General features: G+C 44.1%; 1 pseudogene, besides 1 other annotated feature; it reads left to right on the top strand.

The window, feature by feature from the left end:
• On the top strand, window positions 897–2,982 carry PCBP2P1 (PCBP2 pseudogene 1; annotated as a pseudogene).
• Window positions 14,977–15,772: an enhancer, noted in NCBI's record as "NANOG-H3K27ac hESC enhancer chr21:40529419-40530214 (GRCh37/hg19 assembly coordinates)". NCBI's record gives its function as "activates a minimal SCP1, AML or CMV promoter by ChIP-STARR-seq in naive H9 embryonic stem cells {active_cell/tissue: H9 hESC(naive)}" and the evidence as "EXISTENCE:reporter gene assay evidence [ECO:0000049][PMID:30033119]".

Here is a 17,731-nt window from a genome sequence, read left to right as displayed (position 1 = left end):
ACAAATAGTATGTGATCTAAGTTGTATATATATTACATATATATAAAATAGGGTATAATACAAAGCCATTATGTGGAGGACTAACTTGAGTTGGTGTCCTAAGATGCAGGACAGAAATAGAGAAGTAACAGATGACACAGACAAGACAGTATATGCCCAGTATATTAGAGCAGTCCAGAGAGAACCAGTAGGATGTGTATAGTCATGCACCACATAAGGACATACCACTGGCGGACCGCATGTAGACAGGGGTCCATAAGATCGTATGGAACTGAAAAATTCCTATCGCCTAGGCTGTGGTAGCCATCCTAAGGTCAGACCTCATGTGTTACTTGTGTTTGTGGTGTTGCTGGTGAAAACACGCCTACTGTGCTGCCAGTTTAAAGGTCCAGCACATACAACTATGAACAGTACATAATACTTACAATAAATGACTATGCTACTGGTTTATGTACATCCTATTTTTTGCTATTTTAGAGTGTATTCCTTCTACTCGTAACAAAAAAGCGAACTGTAAAACAGTCTCAGGCAGGCCCTTCCAGAGGTATCCAGAAGCAGACATTGTCATCACAGGAGATGACAGTTCCATGTGTGTTACTGTCCCTGAAGACCTTCTAGCGGGACAAGATATGGAGGCGGAAGACAGTGAGATATTGATGATTCTGACCCTGTGTAGGCCTAGGCTAATGTGTGTGCTGTGTCTCAGTTTTTAACAAAAAGCAAAAAACAAAACTTTTGAATGGAAAAAAGCTTATGGAATAAGGATATAAAGAAAAAATATTTCTGTACAGCTGTACAGTGTATTTGTGTTTTAAGCTAAGTTATTAGAAAAGAGTCAAAAAGTTAAAAAAATAAAAGTTTAGAAAGCAGAAAAGTTACAGGAAGCTGAGATTGACACCAGCAGAGGCAGCAGCCTGAGCAGCTACAGGCTGTGCTCTCTCCCACCTGCCCTGAGGTCTCTCCCTTCTTTCTCTTCCTCCACCACCTTTTCTCCTCCTTCTCGTTGCCTTTCTGCCCACCCCTGTTGTTCCACCCCTGCCCCACCCTGCCTGCTCTCCTTTTTCCCTGAGTTGCCTCCTGCCTGGAGTTCTTGGTTTTCATCCCCACTGGCCAAAGACTTGACCACTCCAAGTCCAGCTCCCCATAGCCCTGCTTGATATGGACACTGGTATGATTGAAATTGGATTAAATGTCATTCTCACCACCTGGCTACTTATGCATGGAAAGGAAGTTGGCAGTATCATCAGAAAGAGGAGAATCAGTTAAGATGCATGAGGAGAGTGGTGCATGTATCAGCATCTCAGAAGGGAGTTGTTCTGAGAGAATTATCATCTTGGCTGGACCCACTAGCGCCATCTTCAAAGCAAGATTGGAAGAGGATATCAGTAGCTCTGTGACCACTAGCACAGCTGCCAGTGGACCCCCTGGTCACCCTGATGCTGGTGGTCCCTGCTAGTCACTGTGGCTCATTGGAAAAGGTGGTTGCAAGATCAAGGCAATACGAGAGAGTACAGGGCTCAGGTCCAGGTGGCAGGGGATATGCTCCCCAACGCTGCTGACTGAGCCATCACTATCGCTGGGATTCCGCAGTCCATCATTGAGTGTGTTGGACAGGTCTGTGTGGTGTTGGAGTCTTCCCCCAAACGCATGGCCATCCCATACTGGTCCAAGCTGTCCAATTCTCCGGTGATCTTTGCAGGTGATCAGGACAGGTACAGCACAGGCAGCGACAGTGTGAGCTTGCTTTCTCCACACCACTTCGTCCATGTGCCTCAACTGTGACCTGGAGGGACCACTTCTAGAGTTGACCAAGCTGCACCAGTTGACAATGCAACAATCTAGTTTTCCTACAGTAGATAGCAACGCTGGGGTTCAGTGCAGGTTTGGATGCATCTGCTCAGACCACTTCTCATAAACACCATTCCAAATGATACTGGCTGCATAATCAGGTGTCAAGGCACCAGAATAAATGAGATCTATCAGATGTCTGCAGCGTAGATCAAAATTGTGAACCCAGTGGAAGGATCTATTGATAGGCAGGTTACCATCACTGGATCTGCTGCCAGCATTAGCCTGGCTCAATGGCTAATCAATGTCCGGCTCACCTTAGGATGAGTGGCATGGGGAACAGCTAGAACAATGCAGATTCACGTACTATAACCCCTTTCTGCTGTTCACCACCACCCATCATCCATCTGTAGTTTCTGAACAAGCAGCCATGTCAGGTTTTAAATAGTTTTAAATTTTTGGTTTTTAACACTCATCCATTCCTTTATTTTTTATTTTTTAAAAAAATGAGATGGAATCTCACTTCATTGCCCAGGCTGGTCTTGAACTCCTGAGCTCAAATGATCCTCCCACTTCGGCCTCCCAAAGTGTTGGGATTACAGGCGTGAGCCACTGTGCCAGCCTGTCATCCACCCTTTTTTTTTTAATTAAGGTGTTTTAATTCCTTTCTCTGTTCCAGTGTTGACGCTGAGATTGTATTTAGCAATATAAGTTTCCCCCTGTTTTTGTAGTTGTTTGTTTTTTGAGAAAGGGTCTTGCTCTGTCGCCCAGGCTGGAGTACAGTGGGGCAAACATGGCTCACTGCAGCCTTGACCGCTCAGGCTCAAGCAGTCCTCTCACCTCAGACCCCCAAGTAGCTGGGACCACAGGTGCATGCCACCACACCCGGCTAATTTTTGTATTTTTCAGAGAGACAGGATTTCATTATGTTGTCCAGGCTGGTCTTAAACTCCTGAGCTGAAGCGATCCACCTACCTCAGCCTTTCGAAGTGCCGGTATTACAGGCATGAACCACTGTGACCAGCACTCCCTGTTTTTGTTTTTTGGCTTATGAATTTTTCTGTTTATTATGAAAATGTAAGAGTGAGATGTTAATACATTTCAATTTAGTTCTGTAATATCAGGAATTTTTCAAAAAATTAAAAGGTGCATTGGAGCTTTTTCTTTGTGGGTAGAAACTGGATGCCACAGTGAACAACAAAAAAAGGATGCGAAGATTAATTTATTATTGGAGAGCAAATTTTTAAAAAATAAATTTAGTGTAGCCTGTGTACAGTGTTGATAAAGTCTACCGTAGTGGACAGTAATAACCTAGGCCTTCACGTTCGCTCACTGACTCACCCTGAGTGACTTCTAGTCCTGCAAGCTGCATTTATGGTAAGTGCCCTATATAGGTGTGCCGGTTTTTGTCTTTTATACCTTATGTTTACTGTATCTTTTTAATGATAAGATATGTTTAAATATGCAAATATTCACCATTGTGTTACAGTTGCCTACAATATTCAGTACAGTAACATGCTGTACATGTTTATAGACTAGGTGTGTAGTAGGCTATAGAATCTAGGTTTGTGTAAGTACACTATGATGTTTATGCAATGACAGACTCATCTAGCGATACATTTTTCAGGCTGGTAAGCAAAACATGATTGTATATCTATATAGATACCAGGGAAATTGGCTTACTTGATTATGGAGGCTGAAAAGTCCCACAACAGGCTCTCTGCAAGCTGGAGACCCTGGGATGCTGGTAGTATGGCCCAGTGCAAGTCCAGAAGCCTCAGAACCAGGGAAGCTGATGGTGTAAGTCTCAATCCTAGGCCAAAGGCCTGAGGGCCTGGGGTAATTGGGGAGGGGCACTGGTGTCAGTCTTGGAGTCCAAAGGCTGGAGAGCCTGGAGTTGTGATGTCCTGTTCAAGGGCAGAAGAAGGGTGACCCAGCTCCAGGAGAGAGAGAGAATTCACCATTTCTTCATCTTTTTCTACCTGGGCCCCCAGTGGATGGATGGTTCCTGCTGACATTGAGGGAGAATCTTCCCACTCACTCCACAGACTCATGCTAAACTCTTCTCAAAACACCTTCACACAGACACCCAGAAATCATGCTTTACCAACTCTCTATGCATCCCTTTGTCAACATGGTACTAAACTCAAGCAGGAATGGCTGTACTTACATAAAACAGACTTTATGCCAGAAGCAGTAAACAGTTATTATATAATAGTAAAGAGATCAATCTAATGAGGAAATAACAACTAAATATATGCACCCAACACTAGACCACCCGGATTTATAAAGCAAATATTTCTAGATTTAAAAAGAGAGGTAGACTCCAACACGATAATTGTTGGGGACTTCACCTCAGTCTCAGATCATGATCATCTAGACAAAATTAACAAAAACTCATTGGATTTAAACTAGACTTTAGACCAAATGGATCTAACAGATATTTGTAGAACATGTTACTCAACAACTGCTGAGTACACATTTTTCTCATCAGCACATGGAACATTCTCCAGGATAGACCATATGTTAGGACAAAAAACAAGTCTTGACAAATTTTTAAAAATTGAAATCATATGAAGTATCTTCTCAGACCACAATGGAGTAAAAATAGAAATAAGAGGAACTTTGGAAACTATACAAATACATGGGAATTAAATAATATGCTCCTCCTGAATGATAAAAATTAATATGGAAATAAAATGTTTGAAACAAATGAAAATAGAAACAACATACCAAGACCTATGGGACACAACAAAAGGAGCTCTAGGAGGGGAGAGTGTATAGCAATAAACACCTACATCAAATGAGTAGATAGATATCAAAGAAACAATTCAATGATGCACCTCAAGGAACTAGAAAAGAACAAACCAAACCCAAAATTAGAAGGAAAGACATAGTAAAGTTCAGAGCAAATCTAAATGAAATAAAGACTAAAGACGTAGAAAGGGTCAATGAAACAAAAAGTTGGTTCTTCAAAAAGATAAAATAGATAAACCCCTTGCTAGACTAAACAAGAAAAGACCCAAATAAAATAGGAAATGAAAAAGACATTACAACTGATATCACAGAAATACAAAAGATCATCAGAGACTATTATGAATAGCTATATACTACCAAACTAGAAAACCTAGAGGAAATGGATAAATTGCTGGAAACATACAACTACTGAGATTCCAGAAGAAATAGAAAATCTGAACAGATCAGTAATGAGCAGTGTGATTAACTCAGTAATGAGAACCCTCCCAAAAAAAGAAAAGCTCATGACTGAATGAATTCACTGCCAATTTGACCAACCACATAAAGAAGAACTAATACCCATTCTCCTCAAACTCTTGCAAAAAAATCAAAGAAAAAACAACTCATTCTACAAGACCACCATTTCCCTGACACCAAACTAGACAAGGACACACACACAAAAAGAGAACTACAGGCCAGTGTTTCTAAGGAACCTAGACATAAAAATTCTCAAAAAGAACAAAACAAAAAGCTAGCAAACAATTCGACAGGATGCCAAAAAGATAATACACCATGACCAAGTATAATTTATACCAAGGACACAAGGATGGTTTAACATACACAAATCAATAAACATGATACATCACAACAGTAGAAGGAATGACAAAAACCATATGATTATCTCAACAGATGCAGAAAAAACATTTGATAAAATTCTACATCCTTTTATGATAAAAAGCTGTCAACAAACCAGGTACAGAAGAAACATATCTTAACATAATAAAGGCTATATATGACCCACAGCTAACATCATACTGAGTGGGGAAAAACTGAAAGTATTTCCTCTAAGAACTAGAGCAAGACAAGGAAGGATGCTCACTTTTACCACTTTTATTCAGTATAGTACTGGAGGTAGAGCCAGAGCAATCAGGCAAGAGAAAGGAATAAAAGGCATACAGATTTTTAAGAGGAAGTCAAATTGTCCCCGTTTGCAGATGACATCGTCTTACATTTAGAGAAACCAGAAGACTCTACAAGCAAAGCAAAATACACACTTAAAGCTGATAAGCAAATTTGGTAATGTTGCAGGATAGAAAATGAACATACAAAAATAGGGTTTCTATGCACCAAAAATGAACTAGCTGAGAAAGAAGGCAGTCCCATTTACAGTAGCTACAAAAAAATACCTAGGAATTAATTTAACCAAGGAGGTGAAAGGCCTGTAGAAGGGAGATTATGAAACACCAATGAAAGAAATTGAAGAGGACACAAACAAGTGGGAAGACGTCTCATACTCATAGATTAGAAGAATTAATATTGTTAAAATGACCATGTTGTCCAGGACAATATACAGATCCAGTGCAATTCCTATCAAAATACTAATGCCATTTTTCACAGAAATACAAAAATCCTGAAATTTGTATGTAACCAAAAAGCCAGAGTATGCACAGCAATCCTGAGCAAAAAGAACAAAGCTGGAGGCATCACACTACCTGACTTCAAAATATATTACAAGGCTATGGTAATCAAAACAGCATGATATTGGTATAAAAATAGACACATAGACTAATGGAACCACATAGAGAACCCAGAAATAAATTCACATATTTATAGCCAACTGAATTTTGACAAAGGCACCAAGAACATACAATAGGGAAGGACACCTTCAATAAATGGTGCTGAGAAAATTAAATATCTATATGCAGAGGAATGAAACAAGGCCCCTATCTCACCATATACAAAAATCAACTCACAATGGATTATAGACTTAAATATAAGACATGAAACAATAAAACTACTAGAAGAAAATATAGGGGAAACACTTTAGGACTGGTCTAGGCAAAGATTTTGTGGCTGAGACCTTAAATGCATAGACTACTAAAAAATAGACAAATGGGACTGTATATAAAGTGCTTCTGCACAGCAAAGGAAACAGTCAACAGAATGAAGAGACAACCTGTTGAATGGGAGAAAATATTGGCAAACTCTTCATCAGATAAGAGACTAATATCCAGGATATGCACTAAACTCAACAACAACAAAAAATAAATCTTTTAAAAAGCCAAAAATGAGTAGACAATTCTCAAAAAAAAAAAAAAAAAAAAAAAAGACACACAAATGGCCAATAGGTTATATGAAGAAATGCTCAATATCATTAAATATCAGGGAAATGCAAATCAAAACCATAGCGAGATATCCTCTCACCCCAGTTAGAATGACTATTATTAAAAAGACAAAAAATAGCAGATGCTGGTGAGGATGTGGAGGAAAGGGAAATCTTATACATTGTTGATGGGAATGTAAATTAATACAAACACTGGAAAAGTATGGAAATGTCTCAAAAACTAAAAGTAGAACTACCGTATGATCCAGCAATCTCACTACTGGGTATTTATCCAAAGGAAAATAAATCAGTGTATCAAAGGGATAACTGCACGTGCATGTTTATTGCAGCACCATTCACAATAGCAAAGATATGGAATCAACGTAAGTGTTCATCAATGGATGAATGGATAAAGAAAATGTAGTATATATACACAATGAAATACTGTTTGGCCACAAAAAGAATGAAATCCTGTCATTTATAGTAACATGGATGGAAATGGAGGTCATAAGTGAAATAAACCGGGCACAGAAAGACAAACATCATATGTTTTTGCTCATATGTGGGAGCTAAAGAAGTTGATCTCATGGAGATATAGAATAGGATGATACATGTTAGAGGTTGGGAAGAGTGAGTGGGTAGGAGGGGGCAGGGATAAAGAGAACTAGCTTAATAGATACAAACATACAGTTAGATAAAAGGTACAAGTCCTGTCATTCAATAAAAAAGACTACAGTTAACAATGTATTGTATATTTTAAAATAACTAGAAGAGACGACTTGAATTGTTCCCAACACACAGAAGTGAGAAATTCTCAAAGTGATGGACACCTCAGATATCCTGACTGGATCATTACACATTCTATGTATGTAGCAAAATGTCACATGTACCCCAGCAATATGTAAAATATTATGTATCAATAAAAAATAGAAATCATTGTATAAGTATCCAGACAGATAAAATGATTATCTGTCTTATTCATTAACTGTTACTACCTAATGCTCACACTGAAACTTGGAAGCTTAAGACAACTAGTATTTATTTCTCAGAGTCTGTAGGTTGGATGGGTGCTGCTGCTAGTCTGGGCCATACACAACTAATCTTGGTTCGTGCAACTATGTTCATGTGTCTTGAACCATGAACTGGGGCCTGGCTGGTCTAGGATCGTCTTGGTTGGGACAATGTGACCCTCTTCCATGTGCCATTCTTCTTCCATGGCAGATGAGCCTGGGCCTGCTCAGACCTGCCTAGACATTTCTTGTGATTGTAGAGGAACAAGAGAGGAGACAGAAACATGCAAGTGCTTTTTCCAGCCTCTGCATCAAGTTTCCCATGGTCACAATGGCCAAAGCCATTTGTGTGGCCACCTCCAGAGGCAGTTTGGGAAGGCACCATGAAAAGGAATAGGTGTGAGGGACAGTCTGCCCTCTAACCGCAATTACTCACGCCCTCCCACCGGCAAAATATGTTCATCCCAATTCTAGGACAGTCAAAGTCTCATCCAGTCATTATATCAGACTTGAAGTCCAGGATCCTGTAATCTAGGTTAGGCCCACACACATCTTCTCTTGATACAGAAACCTACAAACTAAAAAGGCAAGTTGTCTACACTCTACAAACCTAATACACAATGGTGGGACAGAGGCAGGTCGTCTGCAATAAATGCTTCCATTTGAAAAGGGAACAAATTGAACACATAGAGCAGTCACTGGTCCATAACAATTCTGAAATTTCAGTGAGAAAATATTGCCAGCCTCCTACTCTGGGAACAAGAGATGTTCCTTGATTAAGCCCAGTTTCTGTTCTCTGACAGTGGCTCTCCAGTCTTATTCTTGGCTCTTTTCTGAGATGTCTTTTTTTCGTCACATGCCATGCCTGCTTCCAAAGAAATGGCCTTTGTTGCCACCTGAGGAGCTTTCTTATCCATAGAAAGAAGAAAGCCTGAAATACAATACCCTTAAAAACATTGTGAGCTTTCTTTGTATCTAATTATAAGCCCACTCTGTGCTCCGAAAGTCATAGAACTGAAGGGTCTGGGGTTGTGCCTTACTTGCAAACTGACTGACAGATTTCACCCATTTCTGGGTTAGAGACAGAGAATTTTCTTACAGGACAGCAAGAAGTGTGTGCTTCATGTTTTTGTCAGCATCCTTTGTCCCCTAAGTCCTACAGGGATGATGAAGAGTCCAGGTGGGAGCTCTGTGTCACAGCTGAGGAACCTTGAACTTAGGGAATTCAAATCTTTTATGATGGACAAGCAAACCTGCCCTTTTCTCTCTTATTTTACCACATAGCAAATCTGCCCTTTGATCTAGGAGATAGCATCTCTATCTTCTAAGACTGTTTGCTATACAAACAGCCTTGAAGAGAGAGTACTTCTGCTCTCAAGAAATGCAGAAATGTGAGTGACCCATGAAGAGTTGTATTCCAATAGTATTCACCCCTTGTATCTATACCATTCCATTAACCACTCTGATTAATCTGGCCAATAGGATTTGCTAACAGCTCAGATGTAGGTATGAATGGGAGGAACCAAATTGATATCAAATGTGTGGTCTGAGCAACTGGAATGGAGTTATTTTAGCTGAGATGGGGGTATGCTGTAGACAGAAACCCAGACATTCTGATTTGTATACATCAAGTTTGAGAAGTCAACTAGACATTCAAGTGAAGTTGTTGAGTAGGCAGTTGGGGAGGCTAAAAATGGGAGTTGTCTGAAGAGATCGCATACAGTGCTGTGGGCTTGGTAGAGATAAGCAGGCAATGAGTACAGAGGGAGGACCAAGGGATGAACCCTGGGGCTCTGCAGTGTCACATGGTCAGGGAGATGACAGGAGATGGAGAAGAGCCCATGGGAGGTAGGATGAAACCATGGTTTCCTAGTTTCCTGGAAGCCTGGTGAAGAATGTGTTGAAGCAGGAAGGATGGCTCACCTGGGTTTAGTGCAACTGATACACCAAGGAAAATGAGGATTGATGCTCAATCATTGGACTTAGCATGTACTGGTTGGTCAAATGAGTTGTATATTGCATACTTTATACTGAAATCATGAGTAACAGATCAATAATTATTTAGAGGTATATAATTTGTAATTATATTCATGCCAGTAAATTACTAATTTGAAGGCCAGTAGTTTCTGGAGAAAACTAAAAAGCAGAATGAACACAAATGGCACTGTGGTTTGAATGTCTGTCCCCTCCAAAACTCATGTCGAAACTTAATTGCCATTGTGATGATATTAAGAGCTGGAAGCTTTAAGAGGCGGTTAGGCCATAAGGGTTACCCCTTCATCGGTGGGATTGGTGGTGTTATGAAAGGGCAATTTCGGCCCCCTCTTGCTCTTTCTTGGCTCTTCTGCCATGTGAGGAAAAGAGTTAATTCCTCACCACCTTGGAAGTGGATGCCAAGCCCTCACCAGATACCAAACCTGCTGGCACCTTGATCTTGGACTTCCCAGCCTCCAGAACTGTGAGCCAGGACATTTATGCAGAATTCCATTCATGATAAATTACCCAATCCAGTTTCTATCTTGTTTTTGCCAATGGAGACTCGTTCCTGAGTTGTGTTCAAGTCTTGCAGTCTTTTAGTTTTTATTTTATTAATTAATTGAAGACAGTCTCTGTTGCCAAGGCTGGAGTGCCATGGCGCCATCATAGCTCACTGCAGCCTTGAACTCTTGGACTCCAGTGATCCTGCCACCTCAGCCTCCTGAGTAGCTAGGACTGCACGTGTGCCACCATGCTGAGATGCCACCATAGTGAGATGGTGTCTCACTATGTTGCCCAGGCTGGCCTCAAACTCCTGGCCTCAAGTGATCCTCTCACTTTGGCCTCCCAAAGTGCTGTGATTGCAGGTGTGAGCCACCAGCCTTGGTCAAATCTTGCAGTCTTAATTTGGGTTGGAAGAGGGTCAAAGAGAAGGAGGATGTAGAGAAAGATGAAAGGAGAAAGAGAAGGAGAGCACCGATGACTGCCTGGAATTCTGGGTTTTGGGTAGAGAAATGGGTCCAGCATTGGAACTCTCTTGATAAATCAAGCTTCAAGAAAAGCTTAGATAGATGAGACTGGGCTGGGAGCCTTTGGTGGCAGAAGGAACTCAATTTGCATGCCATGCCATCTAATTCTGGGTAGCTTCTTGATTTAATAATCTGACTTTAGAATACCTCCGTACTGGTTATCCAATTTGTGGTCCACTCCTATCACATTATATACAATTACCACAAACATTTTGAACATGAAAAATATCACCAGCCCCTATTTGGTGACCTCTTTAACTCAAGAACAATCTGGCGCTGTTTAAATGAACTCCATTAACCACAAATAGAAGCCTTGTCTCAGTATAATCTGTAAATTATATTTTATCTTTAGTGAAATTCCAGGGTGATGTCACTCCTCATTAACACCTTAGAAAAGGAAACGAAGGGAGATGAAAGTGCGATCATTTTGATTACTGTTAACAATAAAAGTAATCCAGGGTTATCGGCAGATTTATTTGTATTGCCTTTGGTTTCGTTATAACAAATCTGTGAGAGAAAGTGCACATAAAAGGTTTTCAATGAAGCCAATTCAGTGTAGTTACTTGTAGGAAATGATAATTTTAGAAGCCAGAAATGTCAGTTTTACTTATTTGGAAAAAGGACAAACAATATAAACAAAATCTCCCTCTCCTTCCTGCATCTTCATTGCCATTTGTGGATGCCACCATCCTAAAAAGGAGCTACTGAGATTAACCAGGAGAGAAGGAAACTGATGCTTTTTAATTCCCTGCAGTGCACTAGACATAGTGTCTAGACAGTTTTAGATTTGTCCTTTCATATTGTAGGGGAAGCAAAACTACTTCCATCCTCTTAGGGTCCCCGGCTAGGCCTTGAAATCAGATTGGCACAAGAAGGATTAACACGAGGAAAGCACACAGATTTTTACACATACACGAGAGTCCCCATAGGAAAATGAAGACCCAAAGAAGTGGCAAAACCCAAGTGCTTAGCTACTGGGTTGAACAAAGAGAGGCAATTGTGAAAAGTAAGATAAGTGGGGAAATGAAAGGAAGATAAGAGTTATTTCACGAAGTCTGTTTGTTCAAAATACTCTGGAGCTTTGACTCCCTGCTTCTAGTGATAAGAATCATCCTTTCCTCCCGCTAAAGGGAGGGTGCCTTTCACATGGAAGTTTTATTTCCTACCTCTAGGGAAAAAAAAGAGTGGTAAGTGGGTGGGGTTGGGGTCAGAGTGCTCTTCTTGGACCTGCGGTTTTTCTAAGTTCCTTTGAGTCAATGTTCCTTGTGCCAAAGTGGCATATTGGGATGGTGCATTCTGCCATCCTTTGATATCATCCTTGAAACAGGCCTAGAGATGAGGCCTGTTGTTCAAACGAGGGCACCAAGGCTCATGGATGTTAAGAAAGAAGTGGATTCAGACTCAGCTCTGTGTTCAGAGCTTGCAGAGCCAGCTGGTTGATTTGACTTTGCCCAAGGCTAGTTGGACCCTCTAGGAATTATGGCAGCAGACGTCGGCATAGAAGACCACCTATGGGCACATGGAGTCCCCCCTGGCCCTGATGGCACAGAGGATGCCATGGTTCTGGGGCCCTACAGCTGGAATAACCCAGAAGGAACAGAAACCCTGGGGCTCCTGGAGGAAACAACTTTGCAGGGAGGGAAATGGCCGCAAAGAACAAGATTCCTTGCCTCAGCAGATACCGGCATCACAAATCTCTGCATCTCAAGTCACTGTGGGTGGGCTCAGCATAGAGGGCCAGACGTTGGCCAGCCCAGTTTGCACCAGGCCAACCAGACTGGCGTTAGACAAGGTTGTTGAGTTGTGATCTCTCCAAGTCCTGCGGATGTGTTCTGATCACAGCTTCTGTGAACTTCGTACCTGGCTCTCTGGACACTCATCGCCCTTGTCTGAATTCAAAAGTCTTCGTCCAGAACGTGTTTCCTGCTGCATCAATTTCAAAACTGAGTGGGAGCCTTCATAGAGCATGGCTCTAAGTTCTACTCTCAAGTTGTACTGGAAAGGAAATTCAAGGTCATGTGGGCTGTGGCTCAGAGCATGTTAGACTAAGGATTTTGGGAGTTGTTTTGCTAAGAGTAAGATACACCGAAAGTTGCAGAACTTGTCACAGAAATGTGCTTTAGACAGCAAAATGGTACTTGGAAGCTGGTCTTCTGGGAGTGTCAGTTCCTCTGACTGAGGCTGCTGAGGGCCAAGGAGCCATCCAGTGCACGCAGTGTCTACCTGCTGCATCAGGTTAGACTCCAGACGGCTCTACCTGCTAGGCCTGACTGATAATCCCGATGGCAAACACTTCGTGCCAACCCACCCACCCAAGAAAAACCCCTGCCTTCAGGCAGGCCTGGCAGTTCTGGCAGTCCAGGTTGGTTTCTCGGCTCACCCCTGGAGATGTTGGACTTCTCTCTTTGGCCCCAGAATGCCTCCAACTTCAGGAGATACTGGGCCTGGCAGGGGCCCCAGAATGGGCAGGCAGCATGGCCTGCCCTGTCTGTTAGGCTCAAGCCCCAGGGACTGAGCCAGAGCTGGCCTGCGGTGGGGTCCATGGGCAGGTGGAGCTTGGGCACCTCCAGGGCCTTCTGAGGGGCCATGGGCCACTGCTGGACTCTGAGCTCGCACATGTTGGTCTTGCCTTGCAAGTACTCTGAACAGGGGTGTCTCCATTGGGTCAGATGTGGGGCTTTGATGTTTATAACAAGCACCTGCTTCTTGGGCCACCATGTGGCAGCCAGCCTGCTGAGCATTGCTGTGACGCCTCAGGAATCCAATGCGTGTTCTCAGATGTCTGAGTGCTGGGTTTAAGCCACATATTAATAACTTGGCCATCTGTTCAATCTCTTAATAGGAACTGGGAGATTGTTCATATATTTATGTCTATACATTGTGAAACCCATATGAAACATTACTGATACCAAAATAGCTCAAAGTGTACTTGTTCCAAAGGAAATACAGCCATTTACATCTGATTGCTCATAGCCACAGCGAGCTTTAAAGGATTAAAATGTGCAATTGTTATTGCAAGTTCGCAGAAAGAGTTGAACTTTTGAGATAAGAAATCCTTATTCAGCAATCGTAGATGTTATTTATAACCCCAAAAGCATTTCTACTTTTTAATTCATGATCTGTTTAGATTTTTGACTGAAACTTAATTCTCTTTCTCTCCATGGGACTCTTTCTTCTTTCCTTTCTAGAAACCCCTAGCCTTCTTTCTACCTTGCTAGTCCTTTAAGTTGCTGTCCTGTCTCTTGTCCTTCTGCTCCAGCACTTCTGGAAGAATATTCTGTAAAGGTGGGTGAGGCAGGCCTAACTCACCAGAGGCCATTTCCTCCTAAATATCCAACCACTTCTTCTCAGCTTAGCCCCATCATAGAGAATTTTATTTTACTTTATTTTTTGAGATGGAGTCTCACTCTGTTGCCCACACTGGAGTGCAGTGGCATGATCTTGGCTCATTGCAACCTCTACCTCCTGGGTTCAAGCGATTCTTCTGCTTCAGCCTCCTGAGTAGCTGGGATTACAGGCATGTGCCACCACACCCAGCTAATTTTTTTTTTTTTTTTTTTTTTGAGACCAAGTTTCACTCTTGTTGCCCAGGCTGGAGTGCAGTGGCGCAATCTCGGCTCACTGCAACCTCCGCTTCCTGGGTTCAGGCGATTCTCCTGCCTCAGCCTTCCTGAGTAGCTGGGATTACAGGCATGCACCACCACGCCCGGCTAATTTTGTATTTTTAGTAGAGACGGGGGTTTCTCCATGTTGGTCAGGCTGGTCTTGAACTCCCAACCTCAGATGATCCATCTGCCTTGGCCTCCCGAAGTGCTGGGATTACAGGCGTGAGCCACCACGCCTGGCTGAATTTTTCTATTTTTAGTAGAGATGGGGTTTCGCCATGTTGGCCAGGCTGGTATCAAACTCCTGACCTCAAGTGATCCACCCGCCTTGGCCTCCCAAAGTGCTGGGATTACAGATGTGAGCCACCTAAAATTTTCTTTCTTTTTTTTTTTTTTTTTTTTAGCGAAGACAAACACAAATATACTGATATAAATGTATCATGTTTAGTAAATTTCCATCTGTGTAAACTTTATTGAGTTATTAATCTGAAATAAAATGTTAAATTATTGTAGTAGTTATGAAGAAGATCCTCTAACTTTTTTCTTTTAACTTTTTAACATGACAATTATATTAATCCATTTTCTTTTTTTTTTTTTAATTTTATTTATTTATTTTTTTATTGATCATTCTTGGGTGTTTCTCACAGAGGGGTATTTGGCAGGGTCATAGGACACTAGTGGAGGGAAGGTCAGCAGACAAACAAGTGAACAAAGGTCTCTGGTTTTCCTAGGCAGAGTGTTTGTGTCCCTGGGTACTTGAGATTAGGGAGTGGTGATGACTCTTAACGAGCATGTTGCCTTCAGGCATCTGTTTAACAAAGCACATCTTGCACCGCCCTTAATCCATTTAACCCTGAGTGGACACAGCACATGTTTCAGAGAGCATGGGGTTGGGGGTAAGGTCACAGATCAACAGGATCCCAAGGCAGAAGAATCTTTCCTAGTACAGAACAAAATGAAAAGTCTCCCATGTCTACTTCTTTCTACACAGACACGGCAACCATCCGACTTCTCAATCTTTTCCCCACCTTGCCCCTCTTTCTATTCCAGAAAACCGCCATCGTCATCATGGCCCATTCTCAATGAGCTGTTGGGCACACCTCCCAGACGGGGCGGCTGGCCGGGAGGGGGCGCTGACCCCCCCCCACCTCCCTCCCGGACGGAGCGGCTGGCCGGGCGGGGGGCTGAGCCCCCCACCTCCCTCCCGGACGGGGCGGCTGGCCGGGCAGAGGGGCTCCTGGCTGGGCAGAGGGGCTCCTCACTTCCCAGCAGGGGCGGCCGGGCAGAGGCGCCCCCCACCTCCCGGACGGGGCGGCTGGCCGTGCGGGGGGCTGACCCCCACCTCCCTCCCGGACGGGGTGGCTGCTGGGCGGAGACGCTCCTCACTTCCCAGACGGGGTGGCAGCCAGGCGGAGGAGATCCTCACTTCTCAGACGGGGCGGTTGCCAGGCGGATGGTCTCCTCACTTCTCAGACGGGGCGGCCGGGCGGAGGCGCTCCTCACATCCCAGACGGGGCGGCGGGGCAGAGGCGCTCCCCACATCTCAGATGATGGGCTGCCGGGCAGAGACGCTCCTCACTTCCTAGATGGGATAGCGGCCGGGACGAGGCGCTCCTCACTTCCCAGGTGGGACGGCGGCTGGGCAGAGACGCTCCTCACTTTCCAGACTGGGCAGCCAGGCAGAGGGGCTCCTCACATCCCAGACAATGGGCAGCCAGGCAGAGACGCTCCTCACTTCCCAGACAGGGTGGCGGCCAGGCAGAGGCTGCAATCTCCGCACTTTGGGGGGCCAAGGCAGGCGGCTGGGAGGTGGAGGCCGTAGCGAGCCGAGATCACGCCCCTGCACTCCAGCCTGGGCACCATTGAGCACTGAGTGAATGAGACTCCGTCTGCAATCCCGGCACCTCCGGAGGCCGAGGCTGGCGGATCACTCGCGGCTAGGAGCTGGAGACCAGTCCGGCCAACACAGCGAAACCCCGTCCCCACCAAAAAAACATGAAAACCAGTCAGGCGTGGTGGCGCACGCCTGCAATCGCAGGCACTCGGCAGGCTGAGGCAGGAGAATCAGGCAGGGAGGCTGCAGCGAGCCGAGATGGCAGCAGTACAGTCCAGCTTTGGCCCGGCATGAGAGGGAGACCGTGGAAAGGAGAGGGAGAGGGAGACGGGAGAGGGAGAGGGAGAGGGAGACGGGAGAGGGAGAGGGAGACGGGAGAGGGAGAGGGAGAGGGAGACGGGAGAGGGAGAGGGAGAGGGAGACGGGAGAGGGAGCTAAAATTTTCTTTTAAAATAAAAAAATTAGCTGGGTGTAGTGGTGTGTGCCTGTAGCCCTACCTACTTAGGAGGCTGAGGCAGGAGGATGGCTTGAGCCCAGGAGTTTTAAGCAGTGAGCTATGACCACGCTACTGCTCTCCAGCCTGGGAGACAGAGCGAGACCCCCACTCTAAAAACAGAAAACAAAAAAACCCTCAGCCTTGGAAGACTTTGCCTTCCATGTGCCTCCAAGCAAAGGTAAGGGCTCTCTGCAGTTGGGAGTCGGGCCCAAAACAAGACGCTGACACATGCGGAGAACATGAGAAAAGAAAACAAGCCCAGGGGATTCCCACGGTTTAGAAGCAGAATTTTAGCCCCAGCACTTCAGGATTTTCAGGAATTTATCAGCAAGTAGGAATTAGAACTATCAGAACACACTGTGTCTAAGGAGGGTACCATCTTTGAAAAGCAGAAAGGTCATGTGTTTGGATACGTGAGTAGTGGGTGCAAATCTCAGCCCCCAGACCCGAGGGCCTATACATGTGCTTTACTTTTCTGTAACTGGATTTTAGCTTCTCTTTCGGGCCCACGTTGCACCATGACAGGAAGAGATTTCTGCCAGTTCAGAAATGGCCCCTTTCCCTGGGTGTGCTCCCATGTCAGGGACTGACCCAGGGCAATAGTCTTGAGGAAGCTACAGTGGGAAGGCTCATTTTCAACCTTTTGTGTTGGCATCTATGGACACAGCCTTGTGGCCATTCTTGCCACTGTGGTGACTGATCCATGTTCTCCAAGTGCTGACCTCAGGGACCTCTTAGGGCTATTTCTGCCACAGAGGGATGCATTCAGATGTGCTTGGCTTGCTGAGGGGTGTCCAGGGACAGTGAGGACCATTTCAGGCTTAGCTTCTTGACACCACAGGAAGGTATTTCTTCTGCTCCCACTGCAGGGAGCCCATTCTGTTTCTTGTATAATTCAATTATAAGCATGTCTGATGCAAATTCTGGGGTCAGA

This window comes from Homo sapiens, chromosome 21 (genome assembly GCF_000001405.40).
Source record: "Homo sapiens chromosome 21, GRCh38.p14 Primary Assembly".
Lineage (NCBI taxonomy): Eukaryota > Metazoa > Chordata > Mammalia > Primates > Hominidae > Homo > Homo sapiens.
Note: the sequence above shows the minus strand (reverse complement) of the source record. Positions and strands in the feature narration are given on the sequence as shown.